The sequence below is a fragment of the Homo sapiens genome, chromosome 10, assembly GCF_000001405.40.
Source record: "Homo sapiens chromosome 10, GRCh38.p14 Primary Assembly".
Classification (NCBI taxonomy): Eukaryota; Metazoa; Chordata; class Mammalia; order Primates; family Hominidae; genus Homo; species Homo sapiens.
In genome coordinates this window covers 76045367-76070949 of record NC_000010.11, presented here as the reverse complement: position 1 = coordinate 76070949, position 25583 = coordinate 76045367, and the positions used below count along the sequence as shown (strand labels likewise).

At 44.4% G+C, this 25583-nt stretch overlaps 1 protein-coding gene across 3 annotated transcripts in view, besides 1 other annotated feature; it reads right to left on the bottom strand.

The window, feature by feature from the left end:
* Positions 1-25583, bottom strand: part of LRMDA (leucine rich melanocyte differentiation associated) — a 1128545-nt gene that overhangs the window by 489219 nt on the left and 613743 nt on the right. For all 3 annotated transcript variants that reach the window (NR_131178.2, NM_001305581.2, NM_032024.5), the window contains 2 exons: positions 23647-23786; positions 12167-12284 (listed from right to left, as the gene is read on the bottom strand). Coding sequence is in view for 2 of the 3 variants with exons in the window: in NM_001305581.2 (NP_001292510.1) it covers positions 12167-12284; positions 23647-23786 (258 nt within the window). In the remaining variant the exon portion in view is untranslated. The remainder of the gene's footprint in view (positions 1-12166; positions 12285-23646; positions 23787-25583) is intronic.
* Positions 19409-19942: an enhancer, noted in NCBI's record as "NANOG hESC enhancer chr10:77810766-77811299 (GRCh37/hg19 assembly coordinates)". NCBI's record gives its function as "activates a minimal SCP1, AML or CMV promoter by ChIP-STARR-seq in naive H9 embryonic stem cells {active_cell/tissue: H9 hESC(naive)}" and the evidence as "EXISTENCE:reporter gene assay evidence [ECO:0000049][PMID:30033119]".

Genomic DNA, 25583 nt, shown 5'->3' with positions numbered 1-25583 from the left:
AGTGGCAAGGAGCCTCCCGTCCCCCACGCCATGCTTACTCCTCCCATGCCTTCACCTGCCCTACTGCTTCCCTCTACCATTCCCACAAGAACAAAAGGGTCTCGTGCGGTGGCTGAGGAGATGCCCAAGCTCAGGAGCCTGGACCTCCCCAGGATGAATGTGAGGCCTTCTTTCCCCTCTCACATTCCTTTCTTTTAGGTATTTTACTCTTACTAGGAAGTAGATGTCTCAGAAGAGCAGAAGTATTTCATTTAAGGATAAATTCCAGAAAACTTAGTTAAGCCACCAGAAATAGAGGGGCAATGCCCCCTGCTGTGGACTGAATGCGTACCCCCAAATTCACACGTTCAAGCTCTACCCTGCAATGGGACTCTACCTGGAGACAATATCTTTAGGAGGTAATTAAGGTTAAATGAGACCCTAATCCAATAGGACTGTGGTTTCATCAGAAGACGGAGAGATCTCCTTCTCTTTCTTTACTTTCTCCACCATGAGTGGAGAGTGCAGTGAGAAGGTAGCCATCTACAAGCCAGGAAGAGAGCCCACACCTGAACCCAACCATGCTGGCACCCTGACCTTGAACTTCTGGACTTCAGAACTGCAAGAAAATGCATTTCTGTTGTTTAAGACATCTAGTCAATGGCATTTTGTTATGGTATCCCAAGCTGACTTAGGTACCTGCCCCCCAGCATCTCAAGCCAAAATTACCTTCCTCACATTCACCCACACATCTTGATGACACAGCAGTGCCACAAAAAGAGTCCTTGTAAGTTGAAATTACATGACTAAGAACACTAGCTGCTACTGATGCTTTAGACCAGAGCCTGCATTAGCTCCTGCCACAGATTATCTCATTTAATCCCCCAACAGACTTGGAAGGCATTACATTCCCCATTTTAATAAGGCAACCAATAACAGGAGGTAGAAGTCCAGCCTTTAATCCAAACCTAAACATTACCCTGAAACTTGGAGTGGGCCCAGTCCCCAAATGGAGCAGCAAATCCAACAACAGCTCATGAACAAATTAAGAATTGCAGGTTTTCCATGGAACTCAACAGCTACAATAAATTCAGACTTAAAACCTCCCCAGAAAAACAGCTGGAGGCAACTCCTTAAATTGTGTCAAGAACAAAAGTAAAGGCTGTGGAATGGGGGAGGAGTGAATAAAAATGGGCCCAACAAAAATACGTGACAGGTCACCGAGCCAGATAGCCTCTGTGACAATTCAAAATGCTCAACAAAAAAAGAAGAGGTGACTCACTTCTAAATTTCACTCAAGAGTTAAAAACTGCATAAAGTAGAAGCCCCAGTACATATCCCCCACTTCAAAAAAGAAAAAAAAAAAAAAGACAGCTTTGGAGCCTAGACAGAGTATTAGTTCACTGTTGAAAATAAATAATGAGTTCTAATTCAGGTAATGTAGCTCAAAATTTACTGCCATATTTTAAAATGCACATGAAAAATAAAATTATCCTAAAATGTCCTTGGTGAAAAGGCTGCACGTAATTGCTATCACTGACAATGGCGTTGAACTTAGCTAAATTAACATCAAAGGAAGTCCCAATTACAGAGCATCTGTGCATTATTGATGGAGCCCTGTCTGTTCATCTAAGACACTCTACTGTAAGGAGCAGAAAAGCAAACAGAAGGGCTAATTGTAGCACCAGCCTTCAGTGACCCCAAGGACAAGCCTTCCCCATCATGCTTGTGAAATGGCACTTCTGCTGGTCAGAGTGACAAAGAAGATGCATTTGGAATCTGAGTGTGTATACAGGCCCCAGAAGGAAGCTATGGTGACCACAGGTGGGCAAAACAACTTCTAGGCAAAAACACACCTCCCAGAGGGTTGTAGCAGACTCTCAAGCCGGATCCAACAGCTGTCTGGGAACTTGGATGTTCTAGAGGTGTTGGTGAGGAGAAACAGGCTCTCTGGGGAAACAGGAAAGAAAGATGTTCTCTTTGCTTCTCAATGGACCATTTGGGATAAAGGGCAGAGATAATTTCTTTTGAAATGAGAAGCCCCTCTCTTGTGAGCATCTGGCCCCTCACTGAGTCTGCAGGGTGGTGGAACGGGGTGCCATTACTTGCGTGCTACTGCATGCTGGTACTTGCCTAGGCATACCTGTTTGACACTCCTCCAAAGGGTACCCTGAAAGTACATATCAGCCGCATTCAGACCATCATCACATTTTTCTTCCAAATGTTGTGAAGACTTTTAACTCTGTTCAGGTTGGACACCCTAAGGCAGGGGTCTCCAACACCAATCCCGGGGCTACAGACATGTACTGGTCTGTGGTCTATTAGATACAAGGCCACACAGCAGGAGGTGAGCGGCTGGTGAGCGAGCATTACTGCCTGGGCTCTGCCTCCTGTCAGATCAGTGGTGGCATCAGATTCTCATAGGAGTTCAAACCCTATTGTGAACTGTGCATGTGAGGGATCTAGGTTGTAGGCTCCTTATGAGAATCTAATGCCTGATGATCTGAGGTGGAGCAGTTTCATCCAGAAATCATCCCCCATCCCCACCCCCAGTCTGTGGAATAATTGTCTTCCAAAAAACTAGTCCCTGGTGCCAGAAACGTTGGTGACTGCTGCCCTAAGATTATCTTACTACTTTATCTTCTCCACAACTTTGCTTTTGGGAACAACAAAAAGATCAGGTAAATGTTAAGTATCAGAAACATTCATTTCATCACTGAGCTTACATGAGTTTTCTTTTATATTTTCTTCTTACAATTTGCTCTTCTTATCTGCTATTACCTATAGTAGCAGGTGGTTTGGAAATAGCCAGAACTGCAGAGTAGAAAATGGGACCATGCCATCCCTGTTTTCTCCTTCTTCCTTAGCCATGGAATTGCAAATACATGCACATGTCATTGAAGGCAGCTTCAGAACAATGTTCATGATGTTTCTCTAGTGGCCTGGCATCTGTGTGGTTGGCCTCTGCCTGCCCCCTTCTTGCAGGTTTCCCTGCCTTCAAGGATACACAATGGCCTGAGAGTTCAGTCTCTAGAATCCTACAGTCTGATGTTTCCATGGGCCCAGAAGGGTCTTTCTGAGGAAGACAGAGCTCTATTAAGCTGTAGAGTTCAGGAAAGACAGCAAGGCCCTGGTCTAATGGAGGGGAGGGGATGCCGAGGCCATCATGATTCTCCTTTTACTCATACGTCAGTCATTGGCCTTTTTTCCCTGTTCCTAGACAAGTTGCCCCTGCATTTCCAACTTATTCTTCTTCATCACTAGCCTAGAATCACCAAGCTCAAAGCAAAGAATTGGGAGGGGTGGGCTGGAGGATGGACAAAAGCATGGGAAGGATTTGTCAAGCTCACCCATGCACCCATAGCTGAAGAACAGCAGCCAGTCCTGCCCTGTAGCTCTGCACAGAACCCCGGGTAATGTTGGTTTTAAATATGGATAACTTTAAATCAGAACCCTAACTTTACTCTCCAGAACCCAATTTCTTAAGTAAACATCTTTATTTTCCTCTCCTTTTCCCTCTTCTCTTTCCTTTCAAACTTAATAAAAATAATGATAAAAAGAATCTACATTGCACAAACAAAATGCCAAAGATACTTTTCCAAAGTGGATCAAGAAAATGTCAAGCTGATAATGTGCAGACTAAAGACAAATAAAGGCTCCATCTTAGTCATTGCCAGTGATCATGCGAATGACAACTTTTTATGGCCCAGTTAGGAAGACTTAAATTTACTCCTTAAAACGAGACAGTGAATACTATAAGGGACAGGGGCTTTGAGGTAAGAACATGTCAAAGAACATTTTCGAGATGTTGTGAACTCCCTTTAAGGGGGAGTCACTAGTGGGTCTCTGACAGCCATCAGCTGTCTCCTTGTCCCAGAATCAGAGCTACTCACTCTTACATGGACCCATCTCTGCTATCCCAGAGCTTCTTTAGACACAGCTCTCTAACCCCTGTAGCTGCCTGAGCACTGACACTGGCCTGGGTGCTGGGAACACTGTGGCAGCCTCAGACCAGTGCCTGCTGTTGCACAGATTTCCACATCACCAAAGCACCTGCTCTGCACAGAGCTCTAAGGCTCCCTCTCCCAGATACCCAGGGATGCAAATACAGGCCTGCCCAGACTTTTTTCCCACTTCAAACTCTGCCAAGGTTCCTCCTCACCCTCAGGGGAAACTGCAAACCTGACCTAACTCAGAGATCCCCCCACAGCCTGGCTCCTGTAGTTCTTTGCCTAGCCCATGTATTTCACCAAAATATGTTATGGGGAGTCATCACAGGGTTAAAATTGGAAATTACAAAGTTGCCTCTGGCTGCCTTCTATCTCCTGATCTTCCTGCTCTTTCACCCCTGCCTTCCATCAGAAATGTATGCCTTGTTAATGAAATGTAAGGGATACAGTGGGAAGAGCACAAGCTTTGAGTGTGACTTTTTTCCCTGAAGTAATTCAAGGCATAGAGGGGAAAGAACATGAGTTTTGGGGCTTAGGAAGACCCGGGGGAAAAAAAGGACCTGGTTCCACCTTGCTCTGTAATTTTAGGTTATGTATATAATTTATCTGATCATCAGTTTCCTCATTTGTAGGGAGAAAATTAGAGATAAAATTGTTAAGCAGCTGGTACAATAGCTAGCAGACAGTGACTACTTAATGCATGTTCTTCTAACTCACATATCAGGGAAGTTTCTGTGCATCTAATGTACCACTAGGCAGCCAGTTGACCTCTAGACTGGCCCTGCTATCCTAATTAGTTAAGTACCCAGAAACCCTACAGTAGTTGGTGCTGTGGCACCAATGACTGCCACTAACCTCACAAAACTCCAAGTTGTGTTCCAGTTAAGACCCTGGTTCAATGGCCAGAGATGCAGCAGAGGTAGGGTGTGTGGATGGGATGGCCTGCCTAGGTATTAGTCAGCACACTACTGCTCAAAATCTTAGTGGCTTATTACAAGCATTTCTTTCTCATGTAGAGGTCTGTGGTTGGCTGGGATGTTTGCAGGCCTCAAGTCAGGTTCAGGTCTGGTCATGGTGTCTCTCATGTTGTTTTCATAGCAAATGGCAGACGTGTGCGAGCAGTGAGTGAAAACACATGGTGCTGTGTAAGGCCTTGGCCCAGAATTGTCATGCTGTCACTTCCACTCGCATCCCATTGGTCAAGGAGTTACATGGCCAAGGCCAAAGTCAATGGAATGGGGAAGTGTATTCCTCCCTTAGATGGGGAGCCACAGCAAGGGCAGAGAGAAAGGAATGGTTTTAGACAAACAATGCAATCTACCACACTTCTCCCAGTTGTTGGGTTGCAGAGGCAGGACAAAGTATCCAAGAGTTACTCATCTTATCCCCAACACTTAAAAAATGCTACTTACTTCCATGATCCTCTTGATACATCCATCTAAGCATCTTTGGACAGCAGCGAGCATGTGGGAGGCTAAAAAGAGGAAGAGGGTGAAGCTGGGCCATTGGGGAGCTGGGCAAGCCAGAGGTCCCATCAGGGAAACAGTAACATCCCCCAGGCACTGGCTTCATGGACAGTAGTCTCTACTATGTGCTCAGCACCTGGCAAGGCCCCTAGGACTCCTGGGAATGCCCCTAAGAGGCTGCTACCACCTTCCTTCTTTCTATTGTGTATTTTGGTTTCACCAGCACACCAGAGACATGGCTTTCCTGCAGTGCTCTATTTTTTTATTTTAGAGGGTTGCTACCCAAATGCAAGGCTACAGAGGCCGCCTCCAAAGAGCAATACTCCAAAAGCATTTGCTTGAGGCACAGGATGCCATGGTTCTAAAAATGGAGAAATACAAAATCTTTAAGTGATTCTCCCTCAAATGAACGTGCAAACTGTGAAGTCAGGAATAAGGTTGAAAAAACAAACAAACTGCAAATGTTTGGCTCCCAGAGTTGTTTTTGAACACACCATCTAAGCATTTTCTTAAAAAAAACAGTTAATTAAAAAATTTTCCTCTCTCCAAAATTTACTAGAAAGAAACTGAAAATAGAATCTGAATATGTCTCTAGACAAGAAACATCTGCATGAAAACAGAAAAAAAAATCATAAAAACATGAGCACATTCAGGTAGTTGGAAACATCCAGAAAAACAACCAATATTTTAAATTATTTTTTGAATGTTTGGCACTGTGGAGAACTTTCAAAATATATTGGCTGATGGTCTGTTGAACTGAATGTACTTGTGATTTATAATGTTTATTTATAGGCATGTCCTGGCTTTATATAAAATATATATTCTTGAAAATATTGAGTATAAAGGACAGTAATTGTAATAAACCTAGAAGTAGTTTCTGATACCCTTTTATGCATTTGCAATTGGGCTACATAGGAGTAACAGAAGATATCAAAGACATACGCAGTGTAGTTTAGAATAAGATAGCACTTAGTAAAGTGCTACACTAGGCATAAAAAACAATTAAGTGTAGCAAAGAAGCAACTAGGTAGTGCTCCTTTAGGTATAGACAAAAAATACAATAGCGGCGAAGACGGAAAATTTCATTGTAACTACACACAGACTTGTGGGTACCCTAACATGTTTCATGAGAAGAGCTACTTACTTCCTAAAAGCCCTAATATGAGCAGGTGGGTTGAGAAAGAAGGAGGACTCCAGTACCACCCCGAGTGACGAGGAGAACGCAGCTTCAGATCACACCCTTGCCTCCCCGTGAAATGCTACCCAGTGGAAAAGCCAAGTCATGGGGATTGTGGTAGTAGTAGGTTTTCCCATCATAAATAATCCCAGGAAAATCCTTTGGAAAAACAAATACGATGCCCAGAATCTGTCTTTTCTGCCAGTGTACAGGTGGCAATTAACACACAGTCTAAAGGCAATGGTTTCTTTCCTGCCTTTTAATGTAACCATGTTGACTGAAGTAATTAGAACACATACAACAACCTTTTCATGATGGATCTTCCAATATGCTCTGCTGTTCATGGTTCATTCCTTTGATGAGTATTGACTGAGCCTCTGCTATAGACTAGGTACTAGAGATACAGAAACGAACAAAACACAAGGTTCCTGCCCTCATGGAGCTGGCACCCCAGGGGCGAGCAGCTTCCTCATCCCAATGAGAAGCCAGCTTCCTTATGAATCATTCCGTCTTCATCCTAGATGGCCTTTTGCATGGAAACCTAAAAACACAGACACAGATGGAAGAAACTAAAGGTACCCAGGGGAGTGAGGACCTAACTCCAAGAGTCAATGGCAGGACTATGTAGGGTATTTGTGGGAGCAGGTGATTCTCAGGCCCAAATAGTTTCCAATTTTCAGTTTAGGGGAAAAGAATAAGAGAGACTTTTGGAAATGCATGTACTCCAAAGTTTATTTCTTCAACACAGGGCATCTCCCTCCCTCTCCTTCCTTCTTTCTATCACACACAAACACACATGCACACACACACATACACAATAGCCCACCCTCCCAAGTATCAAAACGTAGGCACACACACAAATATACAAGCTACAACAAACTACACAAATACACAAACTACACGATGGGAAAATCAGGTGGAAAAATCAGGAAAGGAAATCGCTCGCCACTTAGAAGCTGACTCTGGTGTACACATACCTCCCAGAACATGCATATGTATACACACAGAGAGATTGAAGCTGGTATACACACCTGCATGGGAAAAAACATACGTTTGAACACACTGTGCCCACATAAACAAACAAGTGACATGTCTTCAAAGACACCTCACTACTCACAGACATATTTATTACCACATCTTCCCTATGAGGATGGATATTAATGCAAGCAAAACATAAGCGTCAAAACACTTTCTAGAGTTGCCCTCCTTAGGCTCCTTTAAGATTCTGAAGATTAAACAGTTGGTAGCCAACTTTGTATACATGCCTGTAAACAAGAGGGCTCAGCTTTAAATAATTATGTCAAAGAAATGACAACTGTGCTCTTTGCCAGAACAGGGATGAATAATTACAAAGTCAGGACATAATTAAACAATTCTGACTGTCGGATTTTTGAGCTGTCTCTCTGCTGTGCAGGGCTGACATGCCGACCACACACGTCATCCTGGACAGGCCTCTGCACCCCTTTGATCTATGTTTCCCAGTGCAGTGAGGGGCTTCACAGTTTGGTTACTAGCGGGCTCTTTCTTTGGGGGCTTGAACCTTCTCTGTATCCAGTGTGGTGTTCTCTGTATTAACAATGGCATGATTCAATGGCCAATATTTGATAAAGTTATATATATTTTATATATTTGAATTTTGGAAATGACAAAGCCTAGCTGTTGCAGGTCCATCAACTAATAACACACACACACACACACACACACACACACACACACACACAGAGAGATAAAGTCTGGAAGCATCCATTGTAGCATTCAGCTATCACTTCCTAATGAATGACAGCATCTTTCTCTACAACAATCAGAGCTCAGACAGAAGCCAGCTTTGAAACAACAAAAGCTAAAAGGCAGCCACGGAGGAGAAATGTGTCATCATGGGAGAAAGGGAGTGAGGACTTGCACTCAAGCGCCAGCGCCTGCCAGGTACCCAATCAGACCTCTGCGACATCGGGCCTTTATTACCTCCTGGATGGTTCTGCATTTGTGTCAGCCGAGAACACCCAGACTGCCCGTTTCCCTACCTCCAAGGCAAGAGCTGTGATTGGAGGGACATTTTCCATTCTCCCAAATTCTTTATGTCAGGAATAAAATGAAAATAGCTCCCCAAATCACGGCCACCTTAATCATCCATCAGAGCATTCTGCTGAATAAGCACAACAGGCCTTGGCTGCCCTGGAAAGGACAGGAGCCAGCTTGAGATTCCGATTCCATCGTGAAAAATAGGTCTTCCCTGAGTGTGCTCAGCACAGCAGCAGCAACACATGGAAAGGAAATTGCTTGCCACTTAGAAGCTGACTCTGGTGTACACATACCTCCCAGAACATGCATATGTATATATACACAGAGACGGAAGCGGGTATACACACCTGCATGGGAACAAACATATGTCTGTACACACCGTGAACAGGTGAGAACCAGCCTTTTTAATGCCAATTTATTAATTCAGCAAGGAGCTCATTTGGCGTCTTTCTTTCTACAAGAAAAGTACCACTGCCTATCTCTGAAAATAACAGACAAAAGGGAACTGCCTGCCATTCAATGTAGGCATCCAGTTCGATATGAAACCAAGAACACAGAAGAATCGTCCTGGGCACTTGAAGAATCATGGCATAAATTGAACACTTAACTGGAAGCCCAGACCCCCAGGGGTTCTGGTCCCAATTCCATGGAGCCTCAGGAAACTACACCCTCTCCCAGCTCCCTCATCCATGAAACGGGAGCACAGACTAGGTGATTTCTAAGTCCTCTTTGGTCTGGAAATCATGTGACTACAGAAAGAGAACCAAGATCACCATACTTTGTAAGAGTACTTTAGTCTCTCTCCTCAAATAATTAACAGGTATTTTTTTAAACTTTTGTTTTAGGTTTGGGGGTAAATATGCAGGTTGGTTACATAGGTAAACTTGTGTCACGGGGGTTTGTTGTAGAGATTATTTCATACCCAGGTACCAAGCCTAGTACCTAATAGTTATTTTTTCTGCTCCTCTCTCTCCTCCCAATCTTCAGCCTCAAGTAGGCCCCTATGTCTGTTGTTCCCTTCTTTGTGTTCATGAGTTCTCATCATTTAGCTTCTACCTGTAAGTAAGAATATGTATTTGTTTTTCTGTTCCTGCATTAGTTTGCTAAGAATAATGGCCTCCAGCTCCATCCATGTTCCCACAAAAGATATGATCTCGTTCTTTTGTATGGCTGCATAGTATTCCATAGTGTATACGTATCACATTTTCTTTATCTGATCTGTCACTGATGGGCATTTAGGCTGATTCCATGTCTTTGCTATTGTGAATAGTGTTGCTGGGAATATCCACATGTATGTGTCTTTATGATAGAATGATTTATATTCCTTTCAGTATATACCCAGTAATAGGATTGCTAGGTCAAATGGTAGTTCTGTTTTTAGCTCTCTGAGGAATTGCCATACTGCTTTCCACAATGGTTGAACTAATTTACACCTTAACAGGCTTTTTAAAGCTTAATACAGTTAGTAAGGATATTGGAGTCAATCATACAAACATGAACTAATTCTAGAATTGATTAGAAACTAATTGGGAACCCTAAAGGGCATTTCTGCTGATGTTGCTAATGACTCAGAAACAACTAATGCTGGATTTTAAGGAGCCAGTCTCAGATACTTTCAAAAGCAAGGAAGGATTTCGATTCCTCCCACCTCTACTCAACAGAACAGTCCTGCTCTTACCTGTTTTCCTCATTTAGACCTTAGGAGGTTTTGTTTGAACAAAGAGATCCACAGGGTAAATATGTAGCTCACTGCTCCAGGGGTGAGAAAGCAGAGAGAGAAGAGTGTGGGCCCAGTGGTCAGACACAAGGTAAACCTCCAGCTCCACAATTACTAGCCAGGTGACCTGGGGCAGCCCAGTTAACTTCTCCAGCCCTCAGTTCCCTCACCCATAAAGCGAGCCAGTGACCCCTTCCTTCTACTTTAGAGGATGATGTGAACACTTGTAGATCTGTGCACCAAGAACCTTAGAAGAATGGGGGGTGGGCATGCACTGAGTGCCCCATCCAGATATGGTGGGTACTACATTTATTACCCCTTCAGATTTTGTGTGACAATGTAGAGCTGCCCACATCAAAGTCAATGAGCGCAGGAGAAATACTGATCCACTCTGCACACAGGTATACACGTGAATACAGATGTATACAAGAAGGTGAGATATGTAGGGTGGGCAGGTTATTTATAATAACCCAGGATATTATAGAGTGCATTTGTTGTACTTTTGCTGGGTTTGGTCATGCTGGCTATCTCTGGACTGTTTTCACCAAAAACAAATAAAAAGAAGGCCAAGAAATAAATTATTTCATTTGGAAAAATTACAAAAGCTAGAATAACTAAAGGCAGTTGTGTGCAATACATCAAACCTGTGCCTCGATAGGGAGCACTGTTAACACTTTAATAGCTATGAAATGAATCACTCAATTAATTTCCCACATGCTGAAAGAGGTAACAATACATTTATCTGCCAGTAATATACCCTCCATATCACATATTTCCACAACTGCTAGCAATTTTATTCAGCATAATGGAAAATAAGTTGCACCTCATGGATTCAGGGAAAGAAAGTGGCCTGAGGTCTGCTGCCAGCAGAGCAACTTGATGGAAGATGTTTCATTGTTCTGTTTTGTTTTTGTTTTTTCTTTCCCCCCTTTAATCATTTCCAATGCACATGCAGAGTGCTATAAGTCAATAGCTGAGGATAAACTAGACTTCTAGGATATCAGTGCCAGCATTTTCAACACACAAGTTGCAATCTCATGGGAGGTGACCACACAGCTCCACAGAGCCTCAAGGCAATGATGGTTCTCCAAGGAGATCATCAGGGGTCACCGAGTCCATTCCCCAGCCTCTGGCTTCACTGAAGGACTCCCAACTCCTCCCAAAGAGATAGTCATCCATGTCCTTAAAAAATCTCCTTGTGTCTGAATCCAAGACCCCAAGCCAATTCTCCACTGCCTCATCAGAGCTGCCATTAGCATGACACCAAATTCACTTACAGACTCAGCTGGTAAAGGAAAGGTCAGTAAACACCACTCTAATCAGCTCTGGAGAGATACATGTGGGGGGCACATGCCAGCCTAGGGACACACTGTCAGAAAACATCACCTTCCACACTAACGATATCTCAGAGGGCCGTGGAGCCCTTGCCTGTGATGGAAGAAAATCACTCTTCCCTAGCTTCCCTTTGGTGGCAAACAAGAAAGTCCCCCTCTGAAGTACTAGAAGAATCCCCCCTACCCCAAAGCCCACCCATGCCCAATGCTTTCCTCTTTCTCCTTTCTCAGCTGCAAACCTGCAGAGGCCCCACTTAGTGAATATTTCCAAGAAGGAGACCTGCAGTCCCCCACAGAACTTCACCATTGGGCTATGCATAGTGCTGCTTTATTGGTAAAACAGGAAGATCCAATTTACACCTAACCCTATTTCATGTTTGGCCAACAATGTATCCATGGAAGGACCCTTCATGTGAGATTCCAACTGCATTCTAAACACTCAGAGGACATTCTGCATGCCCTGGGGTGTAAGCACTGCCATGAGATGTAAATCCCTTGTGAAGAACAGCAAGTAGGCAGCTCACCTTGGGCTTCACCACCTTCATGAAGACTCCTCTGACCAACGCCTCCTCTCGTTCTTGTCTGGTTACTTTCTGGGCATCCAGAAATTTCAAGTTGGGCAGCTTGTACAGAACAAAGCATCTGGAAGATAAGAGTCAGAGACAACTCAGGAAGTTTGAGTGGCAGCCTCAGAGATCCCGACAGCTTGTCTGATCTTCAAGAATCCACACCATCCGGTCTTCTGGAACTTAGACCTTGGCTGCGCCTCCTCTCTTCTTTCACAAAGAATAAACAACTGTTCCTTGGAGAAGTCAGAATGATTCTATCTTACACACATGCACAACTAAACATTAGAAGCACACACTAATGGTACACTTGGCTCAAAGGTAAACACACACACACACACGTGGGTTAGCCAGTGGCACCCTATCAACGCATGCCCTTCCTTCCAGTCTAGAAAACAGGCTCAGCTTCTTTGCTACACAGAAATTCTCAGTAAAATAAACCTATAAATTGATTGTACCCTTTACGTCACTGCCATTCCTATGGGTCATCTGTATCATAGACTATAATGACCTGGATGACTGTGGGTTACAAGTGAGGAACACATGTAGCTGAGAAATGCTTCCTTGAGGAATCAGGCAGGGGTCTTAAGAACTTTGTTCGCATCATCCCTCGATAATACATGTGGTTATTTCCACACTTGCTAACCTATGAAGATTATCAAGGAGAAAAGGGGGAGTTAATTTCTAGGAGATATTAATGGCCCAACAAATGCTAGGTGCTCTCCATTTCCCTGGAAGAATTCCTTGGCAGATGGACTCCAGAAATAAGCCAATGGCTGCTAGTGTAATTAACTGTCCTCAAATAGGTATATATGGAGTTGACAAGAATAACCACTTGGCCAGGGTATAGTTATATAAATGCATAAATAAATGTATAACAGGTATGGACATGTGTCTATACTTCTCCCTCGTCAGGGACAATCACTAACCAAGATGCTTTCCATCAAGTTCCATAGTCCAACAATCAAACAAGCGAGTTGTTTCCACCCTATTCTGCTTATCAAGAGGTAAGTACACAGTGTCAAGAGCAATGGATTATCTCCAAGGGAATCTGTCATTTCCTTCCTATACCCAGCCTCCTCAGCATATACTCATCTTTCAAGCCTCATCTCCTGTGAAGGTTTTTTTGTACACCTCCACCCTTCATTGCTTTCTCCCTTCCCAGGACTCCTAGAATATGCCATCAGCACCTTACAGTCTAACATTTTGTTGTTTTCTAATTATTTTCTTGGTGTTCATTAATGTCCTTACCCAAACTGTAAGCTTCTTGAAGGCAGGGACAAATTTATTTGCTCACTCTCACCACATCTTGAAAACTGGCATTAGAATGGAGTCAATAACATACCAGTTGATTTCAGTTGCACAGATATTTCTTGATCACCTACTATGTGCCAGGCCTTAGGGATACAGATGTGATTACAACATGCTTCCTGCTCTCAAAGGTGTTCTCAGTGTAACAGAAATTATACACTCACATGGAGAAATTAGGAATAAGCATAGCTAAGTGCCAAAATCGAGGTTATGCATAGAGTGGTTATGGGAGCACAGAGCAAGAGGTCTACTGACTGAAAACTCAATGGAAAAGGAGAAACAGGAAATCTCAAATGGGCATCAAGGAACCACACCTTAAGGCAACCCCAAGAACCTAGCTATTCCTCAGTGAGGATGTTACTTGGAACAGTGTGGCTTGCCTTCACTGGAGCCTTGGGTTCCCAAGGCCACCTTCCACATTCGTAAGGTGGTCTCATTATTGGTGGCAGTAGCAGCCCATCTGGAGCAATTGCTGCAAATACACCAGCTGCAGTAGGGGCTGCTTGCTCTATGGAGCTGGCAGGAGCCAGGAACAGGTGGGAGCCCCATGCCCTCCTGAGTTGGTGGGGCAGGAGCCCCTGCTCCCAGGTGCAACTGCAGCTGCCCAGCTGCAGCTGCAGACCCAGGCATCCCTGTGCTCTTGGGGGCTTGGGAAGCCCCCCTCCACTGGAAGGCTTGGGAGTGCCTGCTCCCACTGCCTGGCCTCTCCCGACTCCCAATGCCCACTCCAATTTTGGAGCAAAGTGGCGGCCAAGCCCAGGCACTGTCACAATCTGGCTGAGTGTGTACATGCTCGGAGCAGTACTGAAACACCAGCCCCCTGCCACCTCAGCCCCTTCTGGACTTTGGGTGCTGATGAGCACAGCAGGGAGGCCAAGGGACAGCAGAGGACAGCTCAGCATGGGCCTGCAGGCATCCCTTGGCACAAACAGCCTGGGCACCATGGGCACTATAGACAGCAGGTTGATGGCTGGCAGCAGGAGGCAGACAGGCTCCTAGGTGGAAAGGGGTGTGTCCCCGGTGAAACCCCACCATCAGGCCAGAGGTGGCCTAAAGCATAGGGGCTGGGCTACCAGTTTCGTAAATCAGAGTGAGAACATATGGTACTTTTTCTGGACCCTGCTGTGGCCACCCATGGACCAATCAGCATGCACTTCCTTTCCTCTGATGCCCATAAAAGCCCCAGACTCAGCCAGACTTGGGCAGTTGATGGAACAACCTGCCTGTGGAGAGGAGCTACCCACTCTGGGTCTCCTCTCTGCTGAGGGCTGCACAGAAACTGAGATGACCTGCCTGCAGAAAGGAGCTACCCACTTTAGTTGTCCTGAGAGCTGTACTGTTGCTTAATAAAGCACCTCTTTGCCTTGCTCACCCTCCAATTGTGTGCATGCTTCATTCTTCCTGGATCTGGGACAACAACTTGGGACCCACCAAATGGCAGGACTGAAAGAGCTGTAACACAAACAGGGCTGAAACATGTCCCCCCACTCGCCACATGGTGGGTGATGAGACAGAGAGAAGAGCTGTGGCCCTTTGGGGAGCCCAGACCTAACAGCTCCCCAAGCAAAGGCTGTGACACCCTCTTTGGGGCTCTGTGGTTCCTGGCATCTTCAAGCTTCCAGGTGCCACCACGTTCCCCAGTGCCTGCAGTGGAAGCTGGTTGTGGTATGCCTGGTCCAGATGCAGCCTCACAGGGAGCTAGTGCCCATGCCAGTGTCTAGAGCTGCCCAGCCTGCTGCTTCCAGCATGCCTGGCTGTATGCAGTGGCCAGACCCTGTGCTTGCTTGCTCATGTACCCCTTACCACTCCACACCTGGCTCACCCTTGGCAGGCATGGGATCTGAACTGGCAGCACGAGCCAAGTGCAGCCCACCAGGCCGAGTAGGTGGAACAAGCTCAGCAGGCCCAAGCAAAACTCAGGCAAAGGAACCACCAGTCACAGAGGTTCCCAACTGAGGAAGTAACAACCCAAGGATTCGGTGACATTATCACCAAGTGGCCTGCATATGCTTATCCAGGTAAAAGGCTTGGCTGACCATCCCAAAGCCAGAGAGAATAGTTTAGAGGTCTGCAGGAATAACCTTCACAGGACTCATTGTTAAAGTCAAAATATTATGAAATTCTTTTCTTCCTTCAGAAATGTCCACCCCATGCCTGGTGTCCTGGAAATTTGACTCTGGCTACTTCCTGTTTCCTCCCTGGCCTCAGTCTATTGTCCTTTTCCTACCCTGGGTTCTGCCTTCCCTCCAAATACCTGCTAACCTCACCCAAAATCAAGAAAGTGCCACAAAACACCCAAATATCTTTCCTTTCTTTGTTTCTTTCTTTTCTTTTTCTTTTTTTTTTTTTTTTTTTTTTTTTTTTTTTGAGATGGAGTCTTGCTCTGTTGCCCAGGTTGGAGAGCAGTGGCATGATCTCTGCTCACTGCAACCTCTGCCTCCCAGGTTCAAGCAATTCCCCTGTCTCAGCCTCCCAAGTAGCTGGGACTACATGTGTGTGCCACTACTCCTGGCTTATTTTTGTATTTTTAGTAGAGACAGCGTTTCACCATGTTGGCCAGGCTGGACTCAAACTCCTGACCTCAAGTGATCCATCTGCTGGAATTACAGGCATGAACCACCACCAAATATCTTTTCTATCCTCCAGTAGAGCTCCCACCGGCCTCAGTCAATGTCAGAGAAAACTTCCGTCTTCTGCTTGTAGCAGAAAAGTCTTTATGACAACAGACTCTTTCAAATAAAGACATGTACAGACAGAAACAATATGTCAGGAGTGACGTGCAGGGAGTAAAGACACCCACTAAGTGTAGGGTGGGAAAAGATGAATATTCAGGTGAAGAAAACATCAGTATTAGAAAATCAGCCAATGTTTAACGATGGAGTGAAGGATGCCTTCACGGGGCTGGCAGGAACCATGATGACAACAGACCGCACATTGTCATTTTGCCTCACTTTGGATCACAGCCCTGAAATCAAAGGAGAAAGAGAGAGACAGAGGTGCTGGCTTTTAAGCTAGTTAAAAATTTTAGATGACAAAGAGCTGCTGTTTTCAGATCACTCTTCTTATACAATCGAAGAGACAGCCCATGACACAGGCTGCCAGTCACCCCCTGAAATGAGGGATGATTTTCACCCATCCCGTGGGCCAGCCTGGGTTTCCAAGTGGTTGCTGCTTGGAGAGGTGTGAGGGACACTAGGAGGACTTGCCCCAAATAGTTCCATCTGAGATTCAGCCCAGGGTCCAAAGTTCCTCCATAGAGATGTCTTCTTTCATTTACTTACTCATACATTCACTCGTTCAACAATAATTATGGAACAGCTACTGTGTGTCAGGACCTGAGTCAAGTACCAACATGAGGAGATAAAAGCAATGCAGAAGATCTGTGCTCTTTCAGTGAGCTTCTATTCTTGCACAGTGGTTCTCAAACTTCAGTGGGCATCAGTATTTCCTGGAGACTTCCCAACACACAGATGGCAGGGCCCCATCCCCAGAGTTTCTGATTCAGTATTTCTGGAACTGGGCCTGAAATTTACATTTCTAATATGTCCCCAGGTGATGCTGATGCTGCTAGTCCTGCTGAGAACCAATGTCCTCGTGAAAATAACACCATGAGGAATAATAGCTTTGAAATTAGGAGGGTGGTGAGGCAGCAAAGGGTCTCCTTCCAGTTCTGCTAAGGGCTGCCCTGCCCCAATGCCTGCAGTGCACAGAACCCAGCCAGTGGCCATGTCTGCCAGATCTTCTTGCCCCTTGGTGGCTTGGAACTCGCTCCAAACATTATTGCCAAGTGATAAGTCAGTGGGCTTCCTGCTTGCCTGTCCTTTCATGGTCCTGGGAGATCTATTTCCCTTTGTTCTAGGTCATGTCAGGGTGTCAAAAGGCACAGCTTCAATCCTGAGTGTAATACAAGTTTGCCATAAAAATACAAGAGAGGATTCCCAAAGCCACAGAATGAAGGCTTTTACAATATCAATTCAACCCTTGTAAATTTAATCCTGGGTTATTTGTTGCACCAAAATCTCTTTACTGTGATGTATTACTTAGTTACTGGGGTTATCACAGCCGTATCCTAAAGTTGCATAGTACATAAAACATTTCAGTTAACAATGCGGGAAGGTTAACTCCCCCAGATAACCTGCAATCACAAGGGCTAGTCCAGATGACATCCCTCTGTCAGCTTCCACGAGCTATTGATGGTTCAATCAGTTTGTTTTGAAGGTAAAGTACAACAAAAGGGCACTAAACTTATTCAGACTGTCAACAGGGGCTATCGGGAATAGGGTTTGCAGGTAAGTAATTCTGGGTGTTTTAAGGCTATTATCAAACAGCAATGGTTGAAGGAAGAGACAGCTACTAATAACACAGAAGGCAGCCATCATAAACCACTTTATGGCAGAAACCCCCGTCTATAAATCCTGCGACACCCGGAGACAGCTTCAGATTTATAAAACTGCTTGTTAAGCCAGGGCACTGCTTAATGAAAAGAGATCGGTCTAAGTTCTAAGTCTCACGTCCCTAGCTCCAGAGGGCAACTCCAATTTTCCTGACCTTCTCAAGGTGGCTAGGGGAAAGCCCCCAAGGCTGGGGGTGGTGAGGGGTGGGGGTGAGAGTCAGAGGTGCTCTTGGCTGAGATACAGAAGGTGGGGTTATCAAGAGGAGAGCAGGGATCCTGGGAAGGTGCTTAAAGACCCATTTGTCTCTGTCTGGAAACAGATTTCCTAAATCTGAGAGACCAGCACATTGAGCTTTTCAGGTCCTCTTTCTTCTCACATAGAATGTTCCATTTGCTTAAAGGACTCCTCTAAGGAGAGAGCTAAAACCGCTAGGAGGAGAAAAGGAACAGGAGAAATACCTTTTTTTTCTTTCTTTCCAAAATCAATTTTCTCTGCTCTAGTCCCAACACTCAGGCATTTTTCATCCAGACCTGAGAGAGAGAGGAGGATGTTCTTTCCCCCTGCCTGTAACTGTTATCCCCAGGGCAATGGCTGCTCCCCCCAGGGCAATGGCTGCTCCCCAGGAACACCTTACAACCACAGAAAAGCTCAGATGGGCCTCCACGGTCTGCGAATGGGGTTGGCTGACATGTTTTTTTCTCTGACACTCTATTCAAGAAGTACCAAGTTTCCAATTCTTGAGGGAACTGGGCATGGGGTCATTAGAGTTTTGTTTCGTTTTTAAAATTTTCTTCCGTTTACGGCAGTCTATGCTTCTTTGCATTATTTCTTGCTGCCTTCTTGCTTCTATTCTTTGGAGGCAGTGAGACATGGTACAAGCTACTGATGCGCTACCTGAGACCCCTGAAGGCAGCAGTGGGTGATCTGTGAGCCATTCTCAATCTTTCACAAAGCTTGATGGGATAGATGAGTCCGTCAACAAAACATCATGCTTCCTCACTGTTGACTAGATTACATTAACTCCATTTAATAGCACTGGTTACCTCATGCTGAACAGAAGCCGTGATCAACTGCTGAACGTATATGTTTCATAATAATAATAAACTTAGCAATGGCTTCAGTGCAGCCTATTTGAGAGATCAAAGTTTTTAAAGTGTTGGGGAGAAAAATAAAAGGAGGGCAAGTTTTTGTAACAAAAAGCTTGGGGACTAATAGCATAGTGAAAGAGGCCAGACTCTTGAGTGTATCTTGCCCTGTGATCTTGGTTCAGTCTCTGCTGCCTTTCTGAGCCTCAGTTTTTCTATCTATGCTGTGAAGGGGATGGGCCAAATGATGTCTAAGCCTCTTTCAAATGTTACCTTGCTTGAACTCTACGTGGCTCAAAGTTGACTTACAATAAAAATGTCCATGTCGTCCTTTCTTGTTATTCCAATTTCCTTATATAACCACCCCCAACACCTCCAAGTAAATGACGACTGTGAGAAAGTCAATAAAGACCACAGAGTAATGAACAAACAGTGTGAGTGGAATAACTGCAGATGCTCAGAGAGATGACAACAATCTCACTCTAATGAGCCGAGGTGAGCTCACCTACAGCATTCATGAATGCCTGACAACTGGCAGAGGCCAGCTGATTTTCCTCACAGTTCACCGGCAGCATGTTTGAAGTCTCTGTGCAAACAATACACCCACAGGACAGACCAAGGCCCTCTACAGAGAGTAACCGGCAATTACTCTGTGGGCTTCTGTCACTTTGATCTCTGGGTCGTGACCTTTGCTTTCTTGTGATCTTCAAAGCCCAGATTGTAGATTAGCTGGAGAATGCTCACTGGGTTATGTAAGCCACAAGTTTTACAGCTCCTATTCGTCTGGGAAATGGTGGCAGCCCAGAGCGACCAGACGGCGGAGGGTCCCTCCCTCCTTCCCTTTGGCTGAGTGCTGCAGACACTGGGCAGGCCCCAGGGCTGCTCCATGCAGGGGAACAAAGAAAGGGTGTCACGTTTTAAATAATTGAAAGTTGTAAGGAATACAGAAGGCCCTACAGGGAGGAGGGAGTAAAGCAAGGCCAACCAGAGACTGGAGTGGCAGGAGGGGATGAACGACAGAGGGTTCAGTGACAGAGGAAGAGCTAAAAGACCATGAGACCAACTCCCTTATTTGAAAGGTGAAGTCCAGACTTGTCTACTGTTAACCTTCAAGTCCATTGTTCTTTCTGTAGCAAAAACAAAAAAAGCAATGGCAAGGGAAGACAAGAAATAGACCATTCTGGGCACCCAACTTTCCCATATTGATTTGTTATTTTGGCTAGCGTTGAAATCCACAAGGGGCACTAAAGTGGTTTCTCAGTAGCATGGTGGTCTCTCCGGCCAAGTCTTGCACTGCTGTTCTCTTCCTGCCCAAATCCTGGAGGCTGCTGATTATCACATTCACCTCCATTCCACATTCATCCCAAAATAGCAGCATGGTGTGTACACACTGAAAATCACAGACAGGTTTAAGCTCCTATAATAACAGGGCCATGGACATTTCTCAGCCATGAACTATGATGAATGGCAAAGAGAAACCCCAGGCACAGTTCTGCTCCTGCCCCAGTGGGGCCAGGGTGCTACTCAACAACTTGGTTGTATGTTCATGCTCACATATAAATTTAATGAGCCTGTTTTATGGTGGGGATGTGTGCCAAGAAAATCCAACTGGGTGCACAGGGGGTAAGTGAGGAAGTGAAAAGGGTGAATTTGGGAGGAGGGGAGGAAAGACTCCACAGAAACTCAAGCTCTGTGATGCCATTTCCAATAACTACATAAATCGAGTCACTTCCCATTTCTGGTCCAGTGGTTGGCCACAATGTGACCTAAAAACTGGGCTGACCTCTTTGAAATCAACATCTCCCATGGAAATGAAACAACAGACACACTTGTTTTGATGTATGCCTGGGTGACATATTATAAATATTACATCACATAACCACAGAGGATGCCAATCAATAAGAATTTTTTTCAGACAGCACTAAATGAACCATGGGTTCTTGCTTCTGAATACACTCCTTTAAGGCTCCTAGTATTGCTTAAATGATTAATAGAAGACATATTGTCAGAAAATGTACTTAAAGTGAAAAACAGTAAACTCTAGAAATAGCATTCATTTTTAAGCAATTTTCTAGTGAAAACGTCACATAAATTTACATAGAGGCTCTACTATTAGGCTCTGGGAAACAGCTAGAAGGAAGGCAAACCTCGTGTTTTGTGGATGAAGGGCCAGGAAAATGTTTTACCAAAAGAAAAAAAAGGCAGCTGCATTGTTTTGTATAAACACAAATGCCACAGGAACTCCAGAATCAAAAGTCATATTGCAAAACCCTAAAATTTCTCAGTGGCAAATGGAGCACAAACTCGAGGAAGGACAAAGCGGATCTGCTTACAGACCATAGAATGGAACTATATCAAGCACATATCTATCTTTTCCATATACAAGTGTGAGCACTCATCAAACCAACAGTAAAAAATAAAGAGATTAAATGAATAAAAAATTTAAATGTGCTAGAGAATCAGCCTACCATTCCACTCTTCAACCAGTTGCTGTGCAGTGAATGTGTAACTACATGGGAACATATTTACTGTTCCTTGTGCTGTTCCTAGTCCCTGATTCTCTCAGAGTGCAAGCATCTTGCCATCATTGTGGATGATGTAAATTTTCTAAGTTAATTTTGACTAGTTATGATTTTGGTTTTGTATGACCTCTAGAATCTAGCCTCTCATGGCAACTTTGTCATATGTGTACTCACAAACCACCTCCCTAGCCCCACCCCTCAACTCCTTCCAAGGGAACAGAACTGGAGTGGGGAGGATGGGCTTGGAGGGTGCCCAGGCTAGCCCATGAGATAGACCACACTTGTAGAATCCAGCCCTCCCTAAAGATTCATGACCCACAACCAGCACTTGGATTGAGTCTGAATCATAGTCCTTTGCTTATTAGCTGCATTTGTTGACATCCAAATGGATCTGATTCCAAATGGGCAGTGGGCATCTGAGATGGCCAAAGATCCCTGCATCTCCCTATAAGTTCCTAGTTCCTGAGAAGGAAAGGTGGTTTCAAGCCACCTCCAGAAAAAAAAAGGTGCCAAGCCCTTTTTTCATATCCAGCACTACTTTAGGCATTGATGAGGCTTCAAGAGTCAAGACAACTCAGCTCCTACCCACTGGAAGCCATTCTCTAGATGTGGAAATACATGAAGAAGTGAGAAAAAATACACAAGATAGGATCTATAAAATGGTGTGAGACAGTAAAGGAAGAAATTGAACTTGTTGGGAGCTGAGTGTCTCCGAATTCTAAAGCCAACTGGACATCAGAAACACCTATGGACTGTTGTGTTGTAATTGCCACCAACTGCATCAGAATACCTTGGATGACTCAGAGGTAGATCCTTGATTATGGAATACTGATATAGACTGTCCTCCTATTTTAAAAGCCCCACTGGGAAAGCCGGACTCCACATCAGATCTTCTGATCTGACCCCACATACCTTGGTCTTAGTACTTTTGCTAATGCGACCAGTTACAATAGAAAAAACAAATAGTAATTATTTGAGAGCTGATGATACACCAAAAAAAGAATAGAAAAAAATTTTTCTTAGCTCTTCTTTTCCTTTTGCAACCTCATAAGCCCTGTACTTGAGACCAATCCCTCCCTACCTCTCTCATTCTAGAAAAAAATTACAAAAACTTGCCTACATGGTTGGCTTCACACATAGCTTCTTGGCCCCATGAATGAATGAATAAATGAACAAGTGCATGAATGTGTGTGTACACATACATATACATATAGACACAGACATATATGTATATATGCATATATACATATACAAAATTTATTAAGTTATTTTTAAGAGTGATTCAGGTGGGGTGTTTAATGAGAGCTTATGTCATAATGGAGAGAGAGGTCCATGAAAAGGTCATTAAAGCATTTACAAAACAACAATCAACAATGAGAACACAGACAATTTTAAATGAAGAAGGAAAATTAGGTGACTTTGGTAAAATGGGTAAGACCAAAAAGACTCTCTAAATGACTTTGGATCAGGGCTTTTAAAGCACATGGTTGAGAAGTAGAGAGAAGAACGAAAAGCATTTCTACTTGGAGCCCATCAAAGCGCATGGCTGGTGGGCGCCACGGCATAGCTCTATGGTGGAGAGGTATGGGCCTGTGGGACTTCCTCTTGAGATTGTCTATGAGCTCCCTAAATTTTGGTGGGAAGTCATCTCTCTCTTCAAGATGACTCTGAGACAGACCACAGAAAGATCTTACAACACAGAGCAGGGGTCAGCAAGTTACAGCCCATGGGTGAAATCTGGCCTGCCATCTGTTTTGTAAATAAAGCTTTACTGGAACAAAGCCATGCCCATTTGTTCACAAATTATGTATGACTACTTCTGCATTATGAAAGCAGGGCTGAGTAGTTGTGACAAGTCCATGTAACTTGGAAAACCTAAAATACTTAATATCTGGCACTTCACAAAAAAAGTAGAAAAGGCAATAACTTTTCATCTTTCTTAGCTTTTGTGACCTCAACCAAGAGAGACAATGGCTATAGGTTACCAAAAGGTAAAAGTTTAACATTGTCATGGGAAACCCACTGATATGTACCAAACATCTACTATGCACCCCAGAGTATAATATCATCCCCTAAAGTTTCTCTTTTTCCCTTTTCCCACCATGGTCCAACCCCTGGACACTCACCTGTATCTCTTGTAGTCTTCCTCATCCTTTTCCAAGCTGACCAGCTCGTTGGGACAGGCCACGTTGCCCAGCAGACTGAGGTACTCCAGAGCTGGTGTCACTTCTGCCAAGTGATCCAGCAGGTTCTCCAAATCAGTGATGTGACAAAGGTTAAGAATCTTGGTCCAGTAAGACAAAAGGCTTAGCAATGAGCATAGGCCATGACTGACAGGCGCTGATGAGTCCAGTCTGCTCCTGTGAGACCTCAGGGTGGGGGCTGAAATCAATTCAGCTGTGGGTATACGGTATTGCTACTTTTTCACTCCCACTGTTGGGAACACAGCCCAACTTTCGCTAGGCAGGTAAGACTAAGTCCAGATCATCTGAGGAAGAATGAATAAACTTGATTGTCCCATCATATTTTTCTTTCCTCTATAGTTCTGTTTCTAAAACACACCAAAAGGGAAGATTCCATAGAGTAAAATATTTTTACAATATGCAAAACCATAAAACTTAATTCGTTTCTAGTAATGAAAACAAGGGCTGGGCATGGTGGCCCACACCTGTAATTCCAGTACGTTGGGAGGCCCTGGTAGGCAGATCATTTGAGGTCAGGAGTTTGAGACCAGCCTGGCCAACATGGTGAAACCCGTCTCTACTAAAAATACAAAAATTAGCTGGGCATGATGGCAGGAGCCTGTAATCCCAGCTACTTGGGAAGCTGAGGCAGGAGAATCGCTTGAACCTGGGAGGTGGAGGTTGCAGTGAGTAGAGATCATGCCCCCAGGTGACAGAGCGAGACTCTGTCTCAAAAGAAAAAAACAAAACAAAAAAACCAGAAAAAGAAAACCAGAAATTATTTCAGAAGGCCTCATTAAAATATATTCTTTCTCTGTTAGTGAGGGAATTAGAGAATGAAAGAGAAAAGTCAGAGGGGGGCATGATGGGGGAGATTATTCCAGGAGCCATCTTCCAGTGGGACCCACTGTCCAATCATGGCCAAACCAAATAAAGCAAGAGCCATAGATTCACAGAATCACAGGTACTGGAAAGGGTTTAATGACAACTTAGTCCCCATACTAACTCCTGGCTTAAGCCACATACAGACAAGCTGAGCCTAGGTAAGGTGATGGTTAGATAGGCATGCCTGGTTAGGCCGTGACTTCGAGAGACATATGAGAGAGGGTTAACCAAGTTGGCAGATAAAAGGGGGTCCCAGCCAGGGAATGGCAGCAGAGCTACAGGAACAAAACATACAAGGGTAGAAGAAATGCCATATGCAAGCGTGAAAGACTCAGATTACAGTTCCCAGAAGTGGGGTCCACTTGAACCTAGGAGAAGGTAAAATCAAAGAAAAGGGATGTTCTTGCTCTGTGAGGATGTTATCTAACCTTGGGCTGTTACACAGATTTCCTCATACTTCATTTCAACTTGTCACAAAAGAATGAATTCAAAATCCAACCAATGTCGGAATTGGGTCCCTAAAATATTTGCCAAGCAATCACCACGACATAGCACATTCCATTTCTGACAACCATAACAGTTTTCCTTTCCCCTGGAATTGAATCTTTCTCTAACCTCTACTCAGTGACCCAATTTAACTGCTTGGGGTCACAAAGAATAAGGCTTCTTCTCTTCCACATGATGAAGCTTCAGATATTTGAAGCTCACATGTCTTCCTTAAATCTTTTATTCTCCAAACTAAGTTCCTTCAAGCATTCTTTGTACACATGCTCTGCCACCATCATATGCAAGGCCAAATGCTATACCCTAGGTGAGAGCAGCCAGAGACAATGAGAAGCAGAGTACAAGCAGAAGAGGTGAAACTAGCAAGAGAGGGAAACTAGCAAAAGAGGGGGAAACTAGCAAGAGGAGGAAACTAACCAGAGGGGGAAACTACCAAGAGAGGGGAAACTAACAAGAGAGGGGGAAACTAGCAAGAGAAGGAAACTAACCAG